This window comes from Homo sapiens, chromosome 8 (assembly GCF_000001405.40).
Source record: "Homo sapiens chromosome 8, GRCh38.p14 Primary Assembly".
In the NCBI taxonomy this organism is placed as follows: Eukaryota; Metazoa; Chordata; class Mammalia; order Primates; family Hominidae; genus Homo; species Homo sapiens.
Genome location: NC_000008.11, coordinates 36625103 through 36648026, shown reverse-complemented (window position 1 = coordinate 36648026; position 22924 = coordinate 36625103). Strand labels below are relative to the sequence as shown.

Sequence of the window (22924 nt, the reverse complement as noted above, 5' to 3'; positions counted from 1 at the left end):
TTTCTATATGGGGGCACCCAAATCTCAAAGTTTTGACTCACTTTTTTCCCTTCTATTACCCTTTTCCTTCTTGGTTTCCTCCCAGTGGCTACTAATGCCATAGTGAGCTCAAACAAGTTCAAAATTCATTGGTGATTTCCTCATGGAGCAGCAGAAGACAGGCTGACACATTTAAAATAAGACTAAGCCAAAGACAAATAACAAAACAGAAACTAATGCCAAAAGTAACAACTGACTACACTTGTTTAGTGATAAAATCCCTCAGGATGCCTCGATGGAACTGAGGTCTCCTTTCATGAAAGGTTAGGGATGGAGTTTTAGTGGGAAGGAGATAATAGTTTGGAAACTGAAGGTAGAAACAATAAGATCAAAGAATTCTAGAGCGTGGAAGAAATCTAAGCACACCCATCAATGTTTCAGGATAAAATCTGAATTCCTGACAGCGTCCCAAAAGACTTTGAAGGACTTGAACCTCTCTTTCCTCTTAGAATTCATCTCCTGCTTCTTCCTGGGCTTCTCCTTCCTTTCTAGCTATTCCAGCAGCCTTGTTCTTCTTCCAGCAATGAAAGCTTTCTTCTGCCCCAAAGACTTTTTACTTGATATAGTTTTTGCTCAAAATTAATCTTTTCAGTGTATTTATATTTAGAGGCCATTATAGATAAAATAAATCCTCACCTTACTCTATTCTCTAACCCTGCACTGTTATTCTTCATAAAACTTAACATGACCTGACCATACTAATATTTGTGTTTTTATATTTCATACATCTCTTCCTCTGAAAAGAAAGCTCCGGGCTGGGAACGCTGGCTCACGCCTGTAATCCTAGCACTTTGGGAGGCTGAGGCGGGTAGATCACCTTAGGTCAGGAGTTTGAGACCAGCCTGACCAACATGGTGAAACTCTGTCTCTACTAAAAATACAAAAACCAGTCGGATGCGGTGGCGGGCGCCTATAATCCCAGCTACTTGGGAGGCTGAGGCAGTAGAATCACTTGAACTCGGGAGGCAGGAGAATCGCTTGAACCTGGGAGGCAGAGATTACAGTGAGCCAAGATTGCGCCACCGCACTCCAGTCCGGGTGACAGAGTGAGACTCTGTCTCAAAAACAAAAAAAAGAAAAAGAAAAAGAAAAAAGAAAGCTCCGTGAGGGCAGGCACTTTGCTGGCTCCCTTCAGGAGATGAGTACAGTAATAGTCCTTGCAATGTCCCTGTGACTACCAGTCTTTCCCTTCCAATTCATATGTTCATACACCATGATTAAATTAATATTCTTAGAGCCAAGTTGCACTCTCATGACTACATTGCTCAAAACATTTAATTGTTGCTTATTGCTCACAGAATTACATCAGAGTTCCTCACCATTGTAATTTGATTCAGTCCCAGACTAGCTTTTACAATATTATCTCTCAGCATTTCTCTACAATTTATTTGAACCAAACTGGATTTTGCAAAGTGCAAAAAACAATGTGCTCTATATCCTCACTTTGTCTTTTTTTTCCTCCATTCTATTATGAGACTATGTTTTACTTATCTCTGTGTGATCCCCAGTAGAGCAGAGTGCATGATTTATGGCTAATATGCATTTATTGAGCACCTGTTGGTTGCTAACAGACCAGGTGAATGCTGGATTAGAAATAAAGTAGTTAGCTGAGGTAGAAATTATTATTAATTCCATTGTACAGATGAGGTTAGAAAACTCGTCCAGGGTTACAGTGGAGGAGCTAGGATTCCAACCCAGTCATTTCATCACCTTGGTCAATGCCATGGCCAAGCCATACACAAAGAAAGATCACGAGAAGTTTTACTCATGAGGAAGCCACAGAATCTGGAGATATAACATCTTTTTGTTTTTGGATGTAAATTTGGGGATTTCTGTTTTGTTTTTTTTCCTCATGGTTGGTAGAAAGAATTTATTTGTGAGCTTGACACATGTCTGTGCTGTTTTACCTTTTTGATGGAAATGATGTATCCTCCAGATTTACAAAACTGTTCTGGAAAATATGCATTCTATATTACTGTTCCATTCAGCCACCTGATATTTTAAGCCAGTCAACAATGGTTATTTAAGACAATCAAGGGACCAGGAAACAATTAGTCAGGAGGCCTTGACAACCAGAGAGTAAATTACATTTATGAGCACACTCTGCAGCCATTGCAAAAAGCTCTTTAATCAGAACGGGAGCTATTTGTTCTCGTCCATTAAACAATGTCTATATGGATGCTTGTTGTTGGCTTGTGCAACCCCCAGCTTTTGTTTTTACAGATCAAAGTGGATATTCTTCATGCATATTGTAGTACCACTTGCAAGGCAACATGAACTGTAGTGGGCAGGGTGTCGACATTTCATGGACTTGGAATTCATATGAATCTTTCAAAGGCACTTTAGCACATTTTTATTAGCTATTTGGCCATAGGATATAATAAAAAATGCATTAAACTTGAATTTAAGAGACTGGATTTTAGACCTTCCTCTCAGTTTGTGATCTGGGAAAGTCATTTTACTTCTCTGTTGTAAAATAGGAGATGATAATTAGACAACATTTCTCCCACTTCAAAATTCTGATTGTATGTTGGCCATATCATGGTGTGAAGATGCGAAACTACAGTTTGTAAAAATCTCGTATAATTCATAGAGAGTCCTTTCTAGTTTCCTAAGCTCCAGAAAGAGATATTAAAATATCTGAAACACCTGGTAGTTATAGTTAGGAGAGGAACTGGATTAGATGTGTTTGGTCAAAACCAAGCACTGGAGTCTATTTCATGGGATGAGTTAATGTAAGTCTATGTGCTTAGACTGTGCTATTGTACTAGGAACAAGTTCCTTAGACTGTGCTGTTGTACTAGGAAAAAGTATGTGTAGTATCTCTGATGTGGAGAAATAGAGAGTAATATGTCTCCTCAATTATCTTAAGGTATTCAGCCTTAGGGAGCATATCATTAGAATGCTTGAAGTAGAAGTAAAATAAAATCCAACTCAAGCTGTTGTTAAAAACAAATAGGGAAATTTATTTAAAATGTTGTATACATTTCATCCAGAATTATTTTTTTAAACATGTATTCATACAGTATATTTACAAATGCCCCTTGACTTATGATGCACTTACATCTGGCAAACCCATCATGTAAATTGAAAAGATTTGGGGTTGAAATACATTTAATACACCTGACCTACTGAACATCATAGTGTAGCCTTGCCTACCCTAAACATGCTCAGAACACTTTCGTTAACCTACGGTTGGGGAAAATCATTTGGCAACACTGAAAACTGTCGAATACCAGTTGTTTACCCTTGTGATGGCTTGGCTGACTCAGAGTTGCGGCTCGCTGCTGCTGTGCAGTGCCGTGAGAGAGTATCGCTAGCCCAGAACAGATCAACATTTGAAATTTGAAGTATGATTTCTACTGAATGTGTATATCATTTTTGCACCATTATAAAGTCAAAAGATCATCACAAGTTGAACCATCATAAGTCAGAGACTGTATATACAAAAGTATATGTATATTCGTAGTGTATCCGTGTAATATACGCACAAATATATGATTTGTATAGGTTGTATGATTTAACACATACGTAGCATGATATATAAATGGCTTTTAATCTTTTTTCTGGATTATATATTTTGAATTATAACTTGGGATATGCAAAACTATTTTAGTTCAATTATTTAAGTCAATGTACAGTAGTAATCTATTTTTAGCTTCTCTCCATAGATATATATGGACATTTAGGTTGTTTCCATTTGTTTGCTTAAAAAAAGGTATCCAGTGGCCAGGCACGGTGGCTCATACCTGTAATCCCAGCACTTTTGGGATCTGCCAAGGCGGGCAGATCACTTGAGGTTAGGAGTTCGAGACCAGTCTGGCCAACTTGGTGAAACCCCATCTCTTAGCTGGGTATGGTGGCGCATGCCTATAATCCCAGCTACTCAGGAGGCTGAGGCAGGAGAATCACTTGAACCCGGGAGATGAAGGTTGCAGCGAGGTGAGGTCGCACCACTGCACTCCAGCCTGGGCAACAGAGCGAGACTCTGTCTCAAAAAAAAAAAAAAAGAAAAAAGTGTCCAATGAATTATTTGTCCACCAGTACAAAGAGGTTTTCCAGTTCAGGCCAATTGCATGGTAGGGGCCCTCTTGATTTGGCTGGCTGCTGGGTTTTTGTGTGAATAAAAGTTTCATTCATTTGGAAGAAATGTCTAGGTATGGAATTGTTGAGTAATATAGTAGGTTGCATGTTTAATATTTTAAGAAACTGCCAAATTGTTTTCCAGAGTGGCTATGCCATTTTACATTCCCTCTAGCAATGTATGAGTGATCCATTTCTCTGCACTTCACCAGCATTTAGCATGTTTTTTTTTTTATTTTAGTCATTCTGATTGATAGGGATGCAGTGATATCTCATTGTCGTTTTCATGTTCATTAGTTTACATTTATATTTGCATTTAATATTATTTTAACTTACATTTATTTAATTGGTTAATCACACTGAACATCTTTCCATATGCTTGTCATTGGCATTTCCTCTTTAATGAGATGTCTCTTCATGTCATTTGCCCATTTCCTGATTGGATTATTTGTTCTATAATGGTCCTTTGTCAGGCATGTGGCTTACAAATATTTAATCCTAGTCATCTGATTCTCTTCACATGGGCTTTCACAAGGCAGAAGTTTAATGTTGATGAGATCCAGTTAATCATTTTTTCCCTTTAATGGACTGTGTTTTTGTTGTCAATATAAGAACTCTGCCTATCCCTGGATCCTGAAGATTTTCTTTCTCTCACTGTTTTCTTCCAAAATTTTTTTTTTTTTTTTTTTTTTTTTTTGGTTTTACATTTTACATTTAGGTCCATGATCCATTGTGGGTTAATTTTTGTGTGAGGTGTCAGGTTCAGGGCAAAGTTCCATTTTTTACCTGTGGTAGTCCAATTTGCTCCAGAACCATTTTGTTAAGACTATTCATTGAAGTGCTTTTGCACCTTTGTCAAAAATCACTTGAGCATATGTATGTGGGTGTATTCCCAAGTTCTCTGTTCTGTTACATTGATCTATTCTTCCACCAACACCATGCTGTCTAGATGACCTTAATATAGGGTAGAGTGGTTCCTCCCACTTTATTCTCCTTTGTCAAGATTATTTAGCTGTTCTAGGGCCTGTGCGTTTCCATAAAAACTTAAGAATAATATGGTCTATGTCTACAAAAAAGCTTGCTGGGACTTTGATATAAATTGTATTAAACCTGTAGATCACTTTGGGAGAATTTCCTCTGTCGAATCTTCTAAGTTGTGAAAATGGTATGTGTCTCCACTTTTTTTTAGGTCACCTTTGATTTCTTTCATCAGTATTTCATAACTTCCAGCATACAGATCTTGTACCTATTTTTCTTGGTATATACATGAGTGATTTCATTTCTTTTGGCATGATTATAAATGAAATTATGATTTTAATTTTGGTCTCCACACGTGAATTGTTAGTGTATAGACACATGATTGATTTTTATATATTGATTTTGTGTACTGTGATCTACCTGAACTCAGTTATTATTTCTAGGAGATTTTTGTAGAATCTTTGAGGCTTTCTATATAGTTAATACTGTCACCTGGCAATAGGGACTGTTTTATTTCTTTCTTTCCAATCTTCATGTCATTTATTTTTTTCTTGACCAATTTGCTGCAAGTAAAACTCCCAGTATTGTGTTGAAAGACAGCAGTAACAGCAGACATCTTGCTTTGCTCCTGATGAAAGCTGTCAGTGTTTCACATTAAGCATAATGTTAGCTGTAAGGTTTTTGTAGATGCTCAAGTTGAGGTAGTTCCTCTCTATTCCTAACTTGTTAATGGTTTTTATCAAGAGTAAGTGTTGACTTTTTTTTTTCAAATGCTTTTACTGTGTCAGTTGATAAGATCATATGATGTTTCATCTTTTGTGGATGTCTTCTTTAGTGGATTACATTGATTGATTTTCTGATGCTTAACTGGTCTTATCTGGAATACATCCCACTTCATGATGGTGTTTAGTTGTTGTTATTTTGTTTAATATTTATTTATTTATTTATTTATTGAGATGGAGTCTTGCTCTTGCTGCCCAGGCTGGAGTGCAGTGGCACGATCCCAGCTCACTGCTGCCTCCGCCTCCTGGGTTCAAGTGATTCTCCTGCCTCAGCCTACCAAGTAGCTGGGATTACAGGCGCCCACCATCATGCCTGGCTAATTTTTGTATTTTGAGTAGAGGCGGGGTTTTGCCATGTTGGCCAGGCTGGTCTCGAACTCCTGACCTCATGATCTGCCCATCTCAGTCTCCCAAAGTGCTGAGATTTCGCGTGTGAGCCACTGTGCCCAGCCTAGTTGTTTTTATACATTGTTGGGTTTGGTTTGCTAATATTTTGTTAATATTAATTAATTTTGTTATTATTAATTTTGTGTAGGTTCATGAAAAATATTTGTGTATAGTTTTCTTTTTGTGTGCTGTTTATTTTTGATTTTTTGATATCACAGTAATACTAGACTCATAAAAGTGAGTTAAGAAGTGTTCCCTCCCCTTCTGTCCTTTGAATCCTTCTTCCTCTTCTACATAATTCTTTTCTGGAAAACTCTGTAAAAGGTTTTGCCATGCGGAATTTTCAGTATCATTATTTCTAGGCATTCTGAAATTTCCCTCATGATTTCCAATTTAACTCAAAAGTTTATTTAAGCATGATTATTACATTTTCCAGTTGGAAGGGTCATTTCATCTTCCAGTTTAAATATTAATTTCTAGTTTTAGAATGCTGTTGTCAAAAAATATTATTTGTGGTATTTCTAAACAGAAGGCTTTATTGTGGTTTTCTTTGAGGTCTCATATATAGTCATATTATGTGATTGAAAAGGAGGTTTATTTCTGTTTTAAAGTTATACTGTGAACTAAAATCTCCTGTGACTAGCATGTTTCCACCTACTTATTTTACAAAAATATTTAATATAATTTTTATTCTTTATGAGCTCTTTTTCTATGTTTTTTTTTGTTAGTAGTTATCACTGTTTATGTTCAGTGTTGACTCTTCCATTTATTAAGTACCTTTATTTGTTTTATTTAATGCTTTTATTCCTGGATTCACTTTTCTAATAGAAATAATCTATAATTTGCTTTACTTTTATTGCATTTTTTGGCATGCCATTGCTAGCTCTTTTACCTTTTTTAGATTTTCTAAGTTATTTTGTTTTAGGTATATCTGTTGTATGCAACATATAGTTAGGTATTGCTTTGTGATCAGAGACCAGATCTCAGAGCTTTTAACTTTTAATTAGGTGATCTTACTTAATTTGTGTACAGTGCTAGAATACATAGTTGGATTTTGTTGTGTTATTATATTTTATTTTATGCATTTTCACTTAGCTTTTTTCTTTTTATGTACCATACATATTTCTTTGTATGGTTCAAATTGGCTTTCTTAATTGTGTATGTGTGTGTGTGTGCATGCGTGCACGTGCACACACTTCCTAGGTTAACTTGGAAAGCTAGTTTTGTGATTTTTACATGATTTTAGTGTAAACATCTAGAATATTCAGCTATTTCTTTATAAAGTATTAGTATGCCTATTATAAACAAATACCGAATTAATATATTTCCATCTCTACCACTCCCTCCTTTCTTCCCTCTACCACATAATTGATTTTTCTTAGTTTTTTTCTAACAATTACATTTTTGTCTTTAAATACAATTTTACATCTGTTACTTGATTTATCAATTTTAACTTACGTATTTTGCTTGCCATATTTATAATTCCTTCCATTTGTCACCACTTTCCTTTCCAAGTTTTATTAGTTATTTTATTTGTATGCATTTATTGTATATCACTTTTACATTCTGTTCTTTGGCCACTATTCCCATTGCTGTTTCAGCTACATCCCTAATTCTTGCTTATTAAAGTTTTTTTTTGTGTGATTGAGCATAATGTTCTCAATTCACATTTTATTTCTTTGAGGAGTTAGCAGGCATTGTTTCATTTTATATTTTTGTGTTTAGGCCTGGGTGATTTTGTTTCTTCTTTTAGGTAAAAATCTTTTTGCCTGCATACTCAAAACACAGTGTTCTTTTTGTGTGTGTGAGACAGGGTCACACTCTGTCACCCAGGCTGGAGAGCAGTGACACTATCATGGCTGACTGCAGCCTCGACCTCCTGGGCTCAAGAGATCTTCCTACCTCAGCCTCGCAAGTAGCTGGGGCCACACAGAGGTACAAACCACCTTGCCGGGCTAATTTTTTATTTTTATAGAGATGGGGTCTCACTATGTTTCCCAAGCTGGTCTTGAACTCCTGAGCTCAAACAATCCTCCCACCTCAGCCTCCCAAAGTGCTGGGATTACAGGAGTGCACCACCATGCCTGGCCCTCAAAATACAGTGTTTTTTATTTAGTTTTGAAGTCAGTAACTTTCTTTGCAAATGTTTTGATGGTGATAATCCTGTTGTTGTTGTTTTAACATAATATGCCCATCATCCAGTCTTTTTTTTGACTGCAGGCTCAGTGGTGATGGGGCTTCTTTTGTCTTCTACACTGTTGTATCCCTGTGTATAGAGCTACCTGGTATATAGGAGGTGCTCAATAAATTGTTGTTGTGGTTATGACTGAAACATTTTCTTAAATTATAACTGAATCTTTTTTCTGGTCCATTATACACTTGTATTTTGAGGGACACTAATATTGCTCATACTGAATAGACTTCATCTTCCAAGTTTATTTTCTCTAGTCCTTTTAAATTCTGCCCATTTTGATTTGTTCGGTTTTGTTCACCAAGTATTTTGTTGCATTTCTACAAGTATCTCTTCTCCAGTTTCCAAAGGGAAGCTCATTCCCATAACAGTTTTATATTTTCTTCTGTTTTTTTTTTTTTTTTCTAAGCTAAACCAACTCATTTTTCTCCTTTAAATGTCTTTTTCATAAAATTTCTCTCAACACTGGTATTTCTGCTTTCGGCAGTTAGTTTTAAAATGTTAATATAGTTGATGGTTGAACAATGCAGGGGTTAGGAGTGCTGACTCCCCACATGGTCAAAAATATGAATATGACTTTTGACTCCCCCAAAACTTAACTACTAATAGTCTACTGTTGAACAGAAGCCTTACTGATAACATAGTTGATCAACACATATTTTGTATATGTATTATATATTATATTATGATAAAGTAAGCTAGAAAAAAGAAAATGTTATTAAGAAAATATATTTACTTTTTATTAAGTGGAAGTGAATCATTACAAAAGTCTTTATCCTCATCATCTTCACGTTGAGTAGGTTGAGGAGGAGGAGAAAGAGGAGGGGTTGGTCTTGCAGTTTCAGAGGCAGCAGAAGCAGAAGAAAATTCTCAAGTTACTAGACTTGCACAGTTCAAACCTGTGTTGTTCAAGAGTCAGCTGTATCTCATAACTTTTTTGACTTGATGGCTATGAGTTGTAATGCTTTTTTTCAGCTCTGTGGCAACACAAGTATCTGTTATTGACATTTATTTTTCTCTGACTTTGGACTCTTATTAAAAACTATTTTAGTTTCCACATTGTCATCATATTTTATTTTATGCTTATTTATTTCCTTTTTTTCCTTTAAACTATTGCACTGCATGGCTTAGATTTGTTTTGCATAATTATTTGTCAGATTTGTGTTCTCAACTATTTTATGTTTGAATGAGTTGTCATCTTCCTAGCTTAACTATTTCAAGTATGGAGGGGTTTGGCCCCTATTCTGAGACAGTAACAATTTTCCTTGATTTCAAATGAAGTCGTTAATGACAGGATTTTATGGGCAAAATGCTTAACTTTGCTTGTCCCGTCCTAGCAGCAACTGTACTACTGCTCCAAATTTATATTTTGTTTTTTCTACTGCAGCTTATCTGAATACCACTTTCTGAAAACACCACTTGTTTGTGAATCCCACCTCCCCCACTTTTCTAGTGCCAAGGTAAAGAGAGTAGCTTCTATATTGAGCTAATTTTATTCCAAAATAGGATTGTTGGGCTTGCGTCTTCTCATAGGCTACCTAGTTTGGGATACAGAGCACTACAGCCTTTTTTCTGTTCTGCAGCCACAAGTATCTTGACCTCTTCCCACATATCCATGTGATCTTTCCAGTCTTTGCTCATCCTTCATAATATATGGAAATCAACTAATTTATAGCAAATGTGGAATTTCTGTTCTCCTTTTCCTTTTTGTTTGAGAGTTATTTCTGAGAAGAGGAAGGCAAAAACCTCTTTATTCTGTCATCTTTACACCAGAAATCCATCATCACTACTGCATCCCAAAAACAATGGCTGGTATTGAAGGGTCTTATTGGCCAAAGGCCTTGGTGCCAGGAAGTTTTAGGAGCCTCATCCTTCAGTATCTGGTGAAGGAATTAACATCAAACATGTGATTGCCGTGATTCAAGATGTGAAAACAAGAAGGATGACTGTATGCTGCCTCAGCTTTTTAAAGAGAGCAAGCAGTGTTCAGATGGACCTGGCCGTTTTTTTTCTGTTGTGATTTTGCTGTCCTGGATAGGGAGGAGCTGCATTCTGCTGTGTAGAGTCAAAATAATAGAAATAATAGAAAATTATAGAATCTGTATTACTCGGCCAAAATCAGGGTATTGGCAGGGCTGCATTCCTGCCAGAGGCCCTAGAGGAGACTCTATTCCATGCATCCTCAAGCTTCCAGTGGCTGCCAACATTTCTTGGCTTGTAGTCTCACTACTCTGATCTCTGCTTCCATCTTCATTCATAGCACCTTCTCCTTTGGGTATTATCTTCCTCCATCTTTCTCTTATAAGGACACTTGTAATTACATTTAAGGTCCACACAGGTAATCCAAGACAATCTCCCAATTTCAAATCCTTAACTACATCTTCGAAGATCCTTTAAAACAAATGTGGTAACACAGGTTCCAGGAATTAGGAACTGATATTTTTGAGGGCCATTATCAGACAACCACACTATGAAAAACCCATTTTTTTTAGACTGAGTCTCGCTCTGTCTCCCAGGCTGTGGTGCAATGGCACGATCTTGGCTCACTGCAACTTCCACCTCCCAGGTTCAAGTTATTCTCCTGCTTCAGCCTCCCGAGTAGCTGGGATTACAGGTGCCTGCCACCACTCCAAGCTAATTTTTGTATTTTTAGTAGAGACAGGGTTTCGCCGTTTTGGCCAGGCTGGTTTCAAACTCCTGACCTCAGGTGATCCATCCTCCTTGGCCTCTCAAAGTGCTGGGATTACAGGTGTGAGCCACCACACCCGACCCTCTACAAACTTTATTTCTAACATCTCAGCCATTGACACGTAAACCACATTATGCCACACACTTTCTAGACACCTGTAAATGAATCTTACCAAAGTTCCAACTAAAAGAATTGCTGGTTCTAATAGAGACACATAGCATTACATGAGCTAAAATGGAAAAAGAAACTTTAGAAAAAGCAAACAATCTTTCTACTGTTACCTTTGTCCATTAAGATCCAGTTTTTATCTGAGATTGTCTATAAGACAGTAGAAACAAACATAAATGAGCTGATCTATCAAGAGGCAGATGTGTTGGCTGCTTGTTGGAAGTCATCTAGAGTCAATGCCTTGAGTCTAGAAGACAAACGGCGGTAACCAACAGAAGCAATTAGGTAGTTAAAAGGATTATTACTTCTGCTAGACAGTGCCTTTGCCTTCTAAATGCTAGCAAAGTTGAAATTGAGAACACCAGAAAGTATAAAGCAATGCAACTGGCCCAAAGACTCAAATAAAGGAAACTTGAATTTAATTTATACTAAAATATATAACTGAGCCAACAAAATTAACTCATTGAACATGACAAAAATGTAACTGAAGGGAGGACAGTTTCCTTTTCCAAGGAGCCAAGCAGGAGAATAGTGTAGGGGAAGTAGGATTGGGATGAGAGATGATAAACATGAATTCTCATTGAATAAACAGCCATGTGACTTTGCTTCTCTGGAAGTCCTGGCATACATTTGAGGATAGGGCTATGATGAGGCAGTTTAAAAATACAATCTCCTGCAGTCATTCAAGTTGTAATAGTGACAATGCTGGCATATCATACTTTCCCATGTACTTTGTCCGGGAGCATGAACTTTTGGGTTTTAGAAGCTAAATAAGGATAGAATATTGCAATTGATAATGACTAAGACGAGGACAGTTGAATTAATTGCAACTTTTATTTCTTCAATTGAGTAAAACATGGTGCTAATTGAGGTTGATAATATGGGTTCAATTCCTCCGAGGGCCAGATGGTTTTGCTTAGTCTGGGGACAAGAGGCTGCCACACTGGTCCCCTACCAGCCACCTCTCTAATGTGTATCATTGATCCTAGAGGAGGAGAAAATAAATCAGCATCCATGCCCTGTGAACAAACACATCACTATCATTATAGAATCCACAGCATTTACATAATCTCAGGGTTGAAGGGAATAGTGTGACTTTCAAAAGAGAAATTAGCATCACTATTATGATAATATTTTAAAACCTAGTACTTACAATTATTAATTATTGGATCTCCTTTCTTTGAATGGAAAATTATTTAGGTTGGCATGATATGTCCATTAGGTTTTCATCAGAAAAGTAAAATTATGATGGCTTATGTAGAATAGGGCACTCATTATATAAACAGTCCATGTAAGGCAATTACTTCTGCATCTATGCAGGACCTGAAGTCAGCAGGGCTGGGAGTCAGGAAAGTGATGGATGGCAAGTAGGGGAAGCACTCAGAAGCTGTGCTGGAATCTGCATCTGCCTCTCACCACCTCCAGGTCCCAACTTCTTTATTGTGAGTGACCTGCTACAGAAGAGACTGCTGTCCTTCTACCATGAGCTGCACATGAACCTGGCCAGGATTTGGAACAATTTGAGGAGCAGGTCTGGCAGGAGCTAGAGGAGTTGAGGGCCCAGCTGCTGCTTCACACCAATAAGATTAAGCAGCAGTAAGCATGAGCTGCAAAAGCACCCAGTGCCCTGCATCAACCTTGAGAGTGTAATAAAAAGTTGGTTGTTGCTTCAAGTCTGCCTTTTTCTAAATCTCGTGCTTAGCTAAATTGACACAGCACAAGTCCACTATAGATGAAATGACTCTGATTTAATGAGTCTTGTAAATAAAGATTTATCAGTTTCATATAGTAAGTGTTATGCATATATAATGTATGTATATATGCATATAAATGTGTATGTATTTATGTGTGTGTGTGTACACACACACACGTCTCTTCTGTTAAGAAGAACGATTTTGCCATTTTCTCCCATATTTCTGGATGTGGACTCACTCACTCGGGGCAGGTAGGTAATTGACATCTTTCTTCCAGTTGTATAAAGCAGGGGTGGGCAAACTATAGCCTCTGAGCCAAATCTGGACCACTATTTCTGTAAAAACAAACAAACAAAAAACAAAATAAAGCAAAACAAAACCAAACCTTTTATTGGAACAAACCAGTCCTATTTCTTATATATTGTCTATGGCTGCTTTCCCATTACAACGGCAGAGTTGAGTAGTTGCAAGAGTGACCACATGGCCCGCAAAGCCTAAAATATTTACTATCTGCCCCTTTACGGAAAAATGTTGCTCATCCCTGGTATAAGGCCCTACATTAAGTTATTTTGACAGGTGCAATCCTGAACCTTCCTCAGACAGCTCACAGCTTCCTATTCTGATGACCAGAAGTAGGTGACAAAACAAAGCCCTCTTCTTCCAAATATATCCCCCATTAATCCAGTTGTTTTAGTACACTTCAGAAAATACCATACTGAGATTAAGGCAAACTTCCAGAAAGCATCTAATAAAACAGCCAATATACCATTAGGTTTTCTACATTCACGTTAAAATTGATTAGAGTCCACTGAACCAATTAGTCAAGTTCACTTAGTGAACATGGTCCTGTCGAAACAGAATGCAGAGGAGGAAGCTGGTATTGGAGGTTCAGGATCGTGAGCCAGTCTGTTCAAATCTCAAGGCTTTGTTTTCGTTCGCCAGACTTACCTTGCCTCTTACAAAGAAAGCTATGGGTGCCTGTGACTTGTGGCCAATTTATGAGAGAATTGATAGTAGAATGCAATTTCAACTTCCTCATGTCATAATTTTGTTAAGGACCAGCCTGTTAAGAAGAGAGACTGCTTTCTCTCTCAAGGTATGCCAGCTACAAAAATCAGTCCAGGAAGACTCAGAATTATAAAAGAATACTTCTCATTTAAATCAAAGCAATTAAGTCAAGATGTCTGCACCCAGGGTATAGCTGTAAGTCCATGTATTTGGCAGGTTATCTGTAACTCCATCGACTACATGCTGTAATTGGGCAGTCAGTGCTGCCTGTTCAGCCAAGAAGTCAGTCAATGGTCACAAATTTTGGTGGGGTTTTTTGCTTGTTTGTTTGTTTAATAGATCTCTGTCACTTTTAATTTCTTGGCCTTCCTTCATCCCTTATTGTTTATGCAGCATGGTTTCTTATTTAGGTACCTGAATTTATCTCTGTAAATGGGAAACTTTATTAATAAGATACAGGTGAAATCTCAGGACTGTTCCTCCTGGGAGGTGACTTTTAACTCAGTGTGAAGCTAACAACATGGTAAATAAAGGTTATTTCTCAAGGTCTCATGGGCCAAAAATTAGAACAAAAGAAAGGTCTTGTGTTAACTATTGCAGGGACTGTTTGGTATAGCTGTACAGGTTACTACTACTTCAAACCACTTTATGAGCAGGAATGATTGTTCACACTGCTCAATTATAGGGCTCAGTGTGTGTATTTCGAGGTTGCAATAATTCTACTGCTTGTCCAGGGTTTTCAAATTAGCCAGAACTCTTTTGACTTTAATCCTTGATCTTCTTTCAATGTCCCATTTTCGACTGCTGTGATATCCAATCTTAGAAACAAAAGCTCAGTAGAAAAATGCCCAAAGCATGTGAGAAAATCTGCATAGCATATAACTGCAGAAACTTGTGGTTTCCAAGGAAATCAAATGCCAGGAAGTCACTTACCTTTCAAGAATGCAACGCTTAATCCAAGTAATCCAAAAGCAATCTACTTGGCAATCTAATTATATTGTCTTAGGAGGAAACTGCAATAGTGTTTGTTTGCATTTAATTGCCTCTCTTTAATATGTTTGTGTTGTATTCCTTTCTGACTCCATTCCCAATCTGAAGGTCCCTTGAAATATTTGACTTAGATTTCCACACTAACCCTGGGGATTAAACTTGGACTCACACGTGATAGGACAAACAAGCTCTTATTTTGTGTATGTCAGAGCTGATATCAGTTTCTAGAAACAATCACTTTTCTTGGACAGGTAGAAAGAAAAAGTATAGATGTAAATTGACTCAACTGTTGTGTTCTACTTATGTATTGAAGCATCAGCAATACACATAGAGAAAATTCCCTGCCCCTCTTTCTCCCGTTATGTGATGGTGGAGGATTCTAAGAAAATGATCCATCTTCTTCAGTGCTATGCAAGAGAGAAATACTTGTTTAGTGGTTAGATTTTGATATGAGTTCTATTCCTCGATATCAGTGACAGTGTAATTTATACTTAATTGAAAATGCCACAGTTGCATATTATTCCTGAGGATTTTTGAGATACCTCAAAGGAGTTGGGTGAAGGTTGAGGCCAGGAGTTACTTTTGACTATCAGGAAAATCACACCACAGGTCTTGAATTCAAATAGTCTTGCTGATGTGGAGAAATTCAGACATTACTTTTAATCCTAGGATCCTAGGTAAGGGTTTTTCTTCTATCTTGTGTTCTACAATCAAGATGGAATTTCAGTTCTTGCAAGACGTCTCTTTATCTCCTCTGTTTTCACCACAGTGATGCTACTACCCCACACAGATAAAGACAAACTTCCCTTATTCGGAAAATCCTACTTGTATCTTCAACTTCTAATCATAGTTTTGAACACATTGCAACTGCTTAATACTATTTGTTAAATAAATGAATGGGATCAGTATTCTGATATACAGTGAAGAATCACATTTTCCCACATTCAGGAAAGGAGAACACTGTGCAGACCATATTAATTTCCTTTTTAGAGTATATAGTTTAGAAAAATAAAGACATATAACAAGTGGGCCATTGGGTCAGGAGTTATACTAGAAATGCAAAGGGTGGAGAGAGATCATTTATTTTCTCTTTTTACATTTTTGGATTCTTTTTCTTCATTATAGTAAGAATATACTGCATTTTTAATTTTTAAAATAACCAAAAAAACTTCATGTTTAACATTAAACTTTATTAAAATGAATAATACATCCATAAAAGCAAATATAACAAAAGTTCCTCTTGACTAAACTAGGCAAATTGATAAAATCTAGAGAACTTGATATCAGTTAAGGTGACGTGGTTGCACTAAGCCATCCCATGCCTCCATGACTGGTTCCGTACACTAATACGGGACAGGGTTAATTTGGATTGAAATGATCTATTTGTTATCTTTTCATTTTTTTTTCCCTCTACCTGACCCACTTTTGGGCTATAGTAAAAAAAAATAAGTAAACAAGTAAATGAAACAGAAAAGAGAGAACTAATTAAAATACGTAAAACTAAAGTGGTAGTAGCTAAGGTAAGTAGCTAAGCTAATATAAGGCAGTAATGAGAAATGCCAGCCCTAGCAAGCTAGCAACTTCAGCTCAGCTTTGCACTTTGCCCTTCGGGTTAGTCAGATGACCCTCTGCCAGAAGAAATGTCAGTAATTCCAGGAAACGAAGCTTGTTTTTCTTGCCCTAGCTTCCACCCTAGTAAAATTTTTGACCTCCAGATTCTGCTCATTTGAAAGTCATAACTTGGTAATTGATATAGAATATGGATATAGGAATTCCTAAAAGAGATGTGAATTTGGGGAAGAATTTTTCTACTTAAGAGAAAATAAATCAATATATTAAACCAAGAGAAATTTCTTACCGTGATTGTCCTTCCACGTCCAGATGAGACAGAAGATATACTGATAACACACTACTTCTTAAGAAGTATTTCAACAGGAGGATGATGGTTGAGACTGTAAAGATTTTGAATTAGAGTACATTTCCCAAGGTAATAATTTTGTAAAACTAGGCCTGATGGTGTGCATCTCTAGTCCCAGCTACTGGGGAAGCTGAAGCAGGAGGATCGCTTGAACCCAGGAGGTTGAATCCAGCCTGGGCAATATAGTAAGATCTCATCTCTAATAATAATAATAATAATTTTGCAATTTTCAAGCATCTATTCATTTATTCATCTAATCGTTTGTTCATTAATTCAACAGATGTTTATTGACTATCCATTAAGTATTTCCAGAGTGGGAGACAGAGCCATGAACAAAAAGTATCTCTGTCCTGGTGAAACTTACATTCTAATGGGCAGTGAGGAATAAACAATGAACGAGCAGGTTAATCAGTAATATGTCAGATTGTAAAAAGTGCTATGAAGTATAATACACAGAGTAAGGGGATAGGGACTTTGGGGAGGATTGATTTAAATGGGTTGATCAGAAAACCACCCTGTGATCTGATCTCACTGACAAGGTGACTCAAATCTCCTGTTTAGTGGTATAGATAGAGAAGAGATCTGAAGACTACATTCCTGACCACCTCAGCCTTTAGAGGCCAGGAAGATGTGGCAGAATTACCTAAGGAAACAGAGAGTTGGCACCCAGTCAGTGAGGAATGTCCTGCATGCACTCAAAGGCTGAATTAACTTGGTCACACAGGCCTGGGTGAGGCTGATCTGTAGTGGCTCAGCGGCTGTGTGTGACATTAGCCCGCTCCGACAGGCTGTCTGTGCTCTAGCAGGGGTCTATGAGGTGATATTTTCCTGAACTATGTCTTCTGGGTGCTGGAATTTTGATTGCTATGTCAGTTTTGACCCAAGTATTTCCAATTTCTTCTTAACCATACCAGAACAAGATTTTTTAGTTTGTCATTTTAAAAAGATAATAAAAATGATTTGTAAGGTCAGAACTTAAAACATAGGATACACATGTGTAACTTTAGAAAACAGTAATTTAAACATAAACATCTTCTGGTGTTAACCCCTAACCTTCTTCATTGTCCAACAAGGTAGGGGTGAGGAAACAGCTCTCCCATGACTCTTTTTGTTTGGTCACCCTCCTCCCACATGGATTGTAGTTCTTTTGTGTATCTTCCTGTTTCATTTTCCCACAATGGCCTCTCCAAACTAACCATGTTCGTATATTCAGGTTGATATGGATATGTCAAGCAATTCTCTGCTGTCTGACATTTGGTCATTTGTTCTGTAGAGTCTTCACTAACTGTCTTTCTAAAGCTCAAAAGTATGTCTCTAATAAACTGGTAGGCCCATGAACATATGGAAGCAGGAAATCTCACTCTCTTTCACTCTGTGTTCTGTAAAGATGCCAGTCACAATTATTTGATAAGACCCAGAAATGGCATCATCTCCTGGATGGCAATTTTATACATGTCCCTGAATGATGGACAGATGAAAACACCTTTTAAGTTGCGTTATTTCAAAAAGAGAATCTTCCCCAGAGAAAAATAATAAGTACCCAGATAAAACAAAAGTGTATCGTAGTGAAAAGACTTGCACTCTGGAGGAAACATCAGGCTGTCCAAGTCACAGGAAGCTCTAGAGAGCTTATCTGGAGTCACATGATGGAGGCGGTGTTCAGAGAATTGCAGGGGAGTGGTGGGACTCAGAAATTGCTCACCCCTCTAATATCTTTATGCCTTTCAAAAGAGCTGGTGAACTTGCCTAGCATTTGTTCAGCCAATCTGTGCTGTCCAAAAATCACTGTCTTCTCCACTTAGAGACAAAAGGTGTCTCCCTTTATAGCTTTTTTCTGACAATTTCCTGTCAGGCACTTGCAAAGCTCATCAGACACGCAGACAGGAGCCTTTGACAGAACAAGAGTGACATTTCAAAGAAAGAACGATGATAGGATGCCTTACAGCACACTCCAGAGATAAGCACCTTTGAAAGGTACAGTGCAAATTTCAGAACATCAGCCTGGTATTTCACCATGGAGCGCTATCCACGGAGTCCTTTCATTGTGGCTCAACATGATTAAATTATGTCGAAGTTGCAAATGCCAAATCACAGAAAGGTGAATTTGAAATTCTTATTTTACAGCTCCGAATTAGTGTGGACACTTCCCATCAAGAAGGACGTTTGTTTCATTTGAGTTCTTGGCACAAATATTGTTCTTTTATGAACAAATTGCTGCTGGAAAAATGATATTCCCCCAGGTAGAAGTCAGGTATTGCTTTTACATTCTCAAAAACTAAATGAATATGTATTTTTGATAGCCGCTTTAGAAATGCCTTCCTTGCAGGGTGTTAGAAACTATAGTTACCTCGTATTTGAAATACTAGGCCTTAAGTACCAAGAAATAGCTTGCCCTTTCCATAATACAGAATTGAGAAGGAGAGTAAGATGCTGTTAGTGGCTAGATTGCCCATTTGGGAGGTATGCGGCAGTGTGATTAGACTCCGTGAGGGCAGAACCAACACTTTTGGCTGCTATCTTCATGGTCACGTGACATTCTTACAGATGGGCTCCCATATTATGCTGGCACAGCCATTCTGAAGGGTCTTGGTGGCAAGAACGTTGTTATACCAGCTTCCTGCCTGGAATGAATTCACACACACATACACCAGTGGTTTTACCTTGTTCATTTCCTCCAGAAAACTAGGTTGGGAGTTTTGGTTTCAATCACAGATTCAACATGCAATCTTTGAAAATTTCTCAACTTCCCTGAGACTCAATTCTTGAAGCAGCAAAATGGAGAAAAATGATTTGATTGATATGTCCCATCGTGCAACTCTTCTTCTCCAATGTCTGCCCACCTCAAAGTGAAAACAGAAGGTCTTATCCTTGCCCATAAAGCCAAACAGGGTCAGGGCCCCACCGTGTGGCTCCTGCTGTGCCCTCTGTCACTTCCTCTTTTCCACACACGGGCCTCCTTGCTATGTTTCAGATATCCTCACCGTCTCACGGGGATTTCACTTTCGCTGTTCCCTTTCTCTGGCAGGCTCTTCTCCCAAACATCCTTTCTTTGAGGGTCTATTCACCCTATTTAGAATTGCAGTCACCCTGCCCTTCAGCACTCTCCCTCTGAATTCCTTGCTTTGTTTTCTTCCATAAGATTTATATATCAGACATACTCTATACCCTACATGTTGCTTATTTATCTACAAATAAATACAGACATGTACACACAAAGCTTTTATTATTTACTCATCTGTCTCGGGGCCAAGAATAGTGCTTAACACACAGTAGGTGCTCCATAAATATTTTTAATGATTATATAGTCATCATTTTTATAGATCTCGGAAGTTTCTTACTTTTTACCTACAAAGAAAAGATCACTTTAATCCCCATTTTAGAGATGATAAAAATGAGGTTTAAAGGCACTGAAGATCCTGCAGCTGGTGTACGGTTAGCTAGGACATACCTTCCATCTCTTTTGAATCCAATTCCATATTCCTTTCATGACATTATTCTGCCTCTTTACAGCTTGACAGATCGCTGTGAGAATTCAAGTTACAATGATGCAAAGTCTTTGAAAATGGAAATGTTCCATTTTCATGAAAGGCATTCTAAATATTATTTTTCTCTCTTTGTTTTTTAATGAGAACATAAGACAGGCTGGTTTTAGAACCTAGTTATATTTCCTTCACATTGATTTTTGACAAGCATGGGCTGAAATATCTCCCCCATGTTCACTGACTCATTAGGAGATGCAAATTCAAAATACTATAGCACGAGATGACGGAGAAGATGATGGTGAATAGGAAAAGATGGGGAGCCATGTGGCAATAAAGGCATTGTCTTCCTTGTTTTTCCCCTTTGAGAAATACCAGCTGTTTCCAGGCATGGTGGCTCACACCTGTAATCCTAGCACTTTGGGAGGCTGAGGTGGGCGGATTACTTGAAGTCAGGAAGGAGTTGGAGACCAGGCTGGTCAATATGGTGAAACCCTGTCTCTACTAAAAATACAAAAATTAGCTGGGTGTGGTGGTACGTGCCTGTAATCCCAGCTACTCAGGAGGCTGAGGCAGGAGAATTGCTTGAACCAAGGAGGTAGAGGTTGCAGTGAGGCAAGATGGCACTATTGCACTCTAGCCTGGGCAACAGAGCAAGACTCTGTCTCAAAAAAAAAAAAAGAGAGAAATACCAGCTATTGGTATTGGTATCCTCAGTTGCCACCATCATGTTAGTTGCATCAGCCTCTGGGTTTAGCCTGCGTCTCTTGGCCTAAGTCGCAATGTGAGGAAGCATCTACGGTGCCACTCAGCCTCACCATGGAGGGAATCGGGTCTGCCTACTCTTGGCCTCAGTGCCTCCATGCACTGCTTATGTTGTTTTGCATCCTGCTTCACAGTTCTGTCTCGGGTCAGCACTGGCTGTCACTCTGGGAATATGCCCTGCTACTTCTCAGGTGGGAAACAGAGAAATATTCAGCAACCAATCATCCTGTCAGTGAGCATTCATTAATTACCTATAAGTTAAGAATGAGGACCAGGCACACTGCTAGGCACCCAGAGTGACAAATAAAATAGCACAACTCACCATAAAGGAACCGAATGTAGTTGGAAATATAGCTCCACGCCTGCAGTCACTTACATTCTAACATGAGAAGTGTTTATGAAGGGCAACCTAGTGTGAGTCATCTCCGCTATTCCAACCTCTGCATATGCGCATGCTGATGCTGCCTCTGTTTCTAGCCCATGCCAACCTTGAAAAAAGAACTTGGTGACTCTTGGGTTTTCCCCAAAGAATTTAACTCAAAGATCAGAGTAAGAAATGCAGGCTTTCCTGGGGATTTTATTGAGGAAGTTGATGAGGGGCTTACATTAGATAACCTTCAACAATGCGAAGAACCATCCTAGGCAATACTGTTTTCCAGAATCTCTTTCTGTTTTCACAACACTGGTGGTGGGAGGGCTTTGGTCTGTAGACCCAACTCCCATGCCCGATTGACTACAAGTCTAGTATATAGTAGATTCTTAATCATGTTTACTGAATCAATAAATGATTGATTCAGTAAATGAATAAATGACTAGAATGTGAAAGTAATGTTTTAAGCAAATTGATTTTTCTAAATCTCTTAAACTCTAGAACTCATTGAAAAGACTTTTCTATATGCAAAATCTGAATTCTTAAAAAGCTATAAATAAAGCATTTTTAAATGAATGAAGGGATCTTATATAAAATTGTTTTTTAAAACTAAGAATGTGTTTGTAAAAAAATCAATAAATTATTAACAATTTCAGCAATGTAACGAGCTTTTGTAAATTTGGATTTTCTTATATTGGATTTGTTCAAAGTTAAGTTCATATGCATATGATTCAAGATCTCACATCTCTTTTTCTTAGTCTGGAAGTTCAGGTTTACAAAGCATGACTATATTTTCTTGTAAACACCCAGGAAGTGAAAGCTGCTGATGTCTAACTGAAATTCGGAAGGGAGGGTGGGAAAATCAGCCAAAATGTCACAGGAGTGAGGAATAACTTTCAATGCCCTATCAAAGGAGCTCTTCAAGTTATGTATTGATCCCAACACAAGGAAAATATGCCTAGAAAATTAATTTGACATTTACGATCAATAGCACTCAGATGTCACTGGAGCAGAGGGTGGAAAAAAAGATGGCTTTAAAATTACAGTCATGAATTTATAATTAAATTAATGAATAGAAGTAATTTATTGAATTAATGTTTCCAGAGTCTAAAGAAAATCAGCCTGCCATAGCACATTACTGAAGGAATGAGGAGGAGGCATCTTAGCTTTCCAGATCAGTCTTTATTAACCCATCTATGCTTTGCTTTTTTATTTGGGCCTTTGTGCTTCAATTTCTGAAGTGTGGCCATTTTTCACCTATGAACTAACCGTTACACCTAGTGCAAAGATTGAGCCATTAAGGGACTCAGCTATGACAAGAATGAGCCCTTGTCTGTTGTCTCATCTCTGTCCAAAAGTCCTAGAGAAAATGCACTTTGTGTT

The 22924-nt window shown here is 37.8% G+C and overlaps 1 annotated feature.

The window, feature by feature from the left end:
• Positions 21229 to 21902: an enhancer, noted in NCBI's record as "OCT4-H3K27ac hESC enhancer chr8:36483643-36484316 (GRCh37/hg19 assembly coordinates)". NCBI's record gives its function as "activates a minimal SCP1, AML or CMV promoter by ChIP-STARR-seq in primed H9 embryonic stem cells {active_cell/tissue: H9 hESC(primed)}" and the evidence as "EXISTENCE:reporter gene assay evidence [ECO:0000049][PMID:30033119]".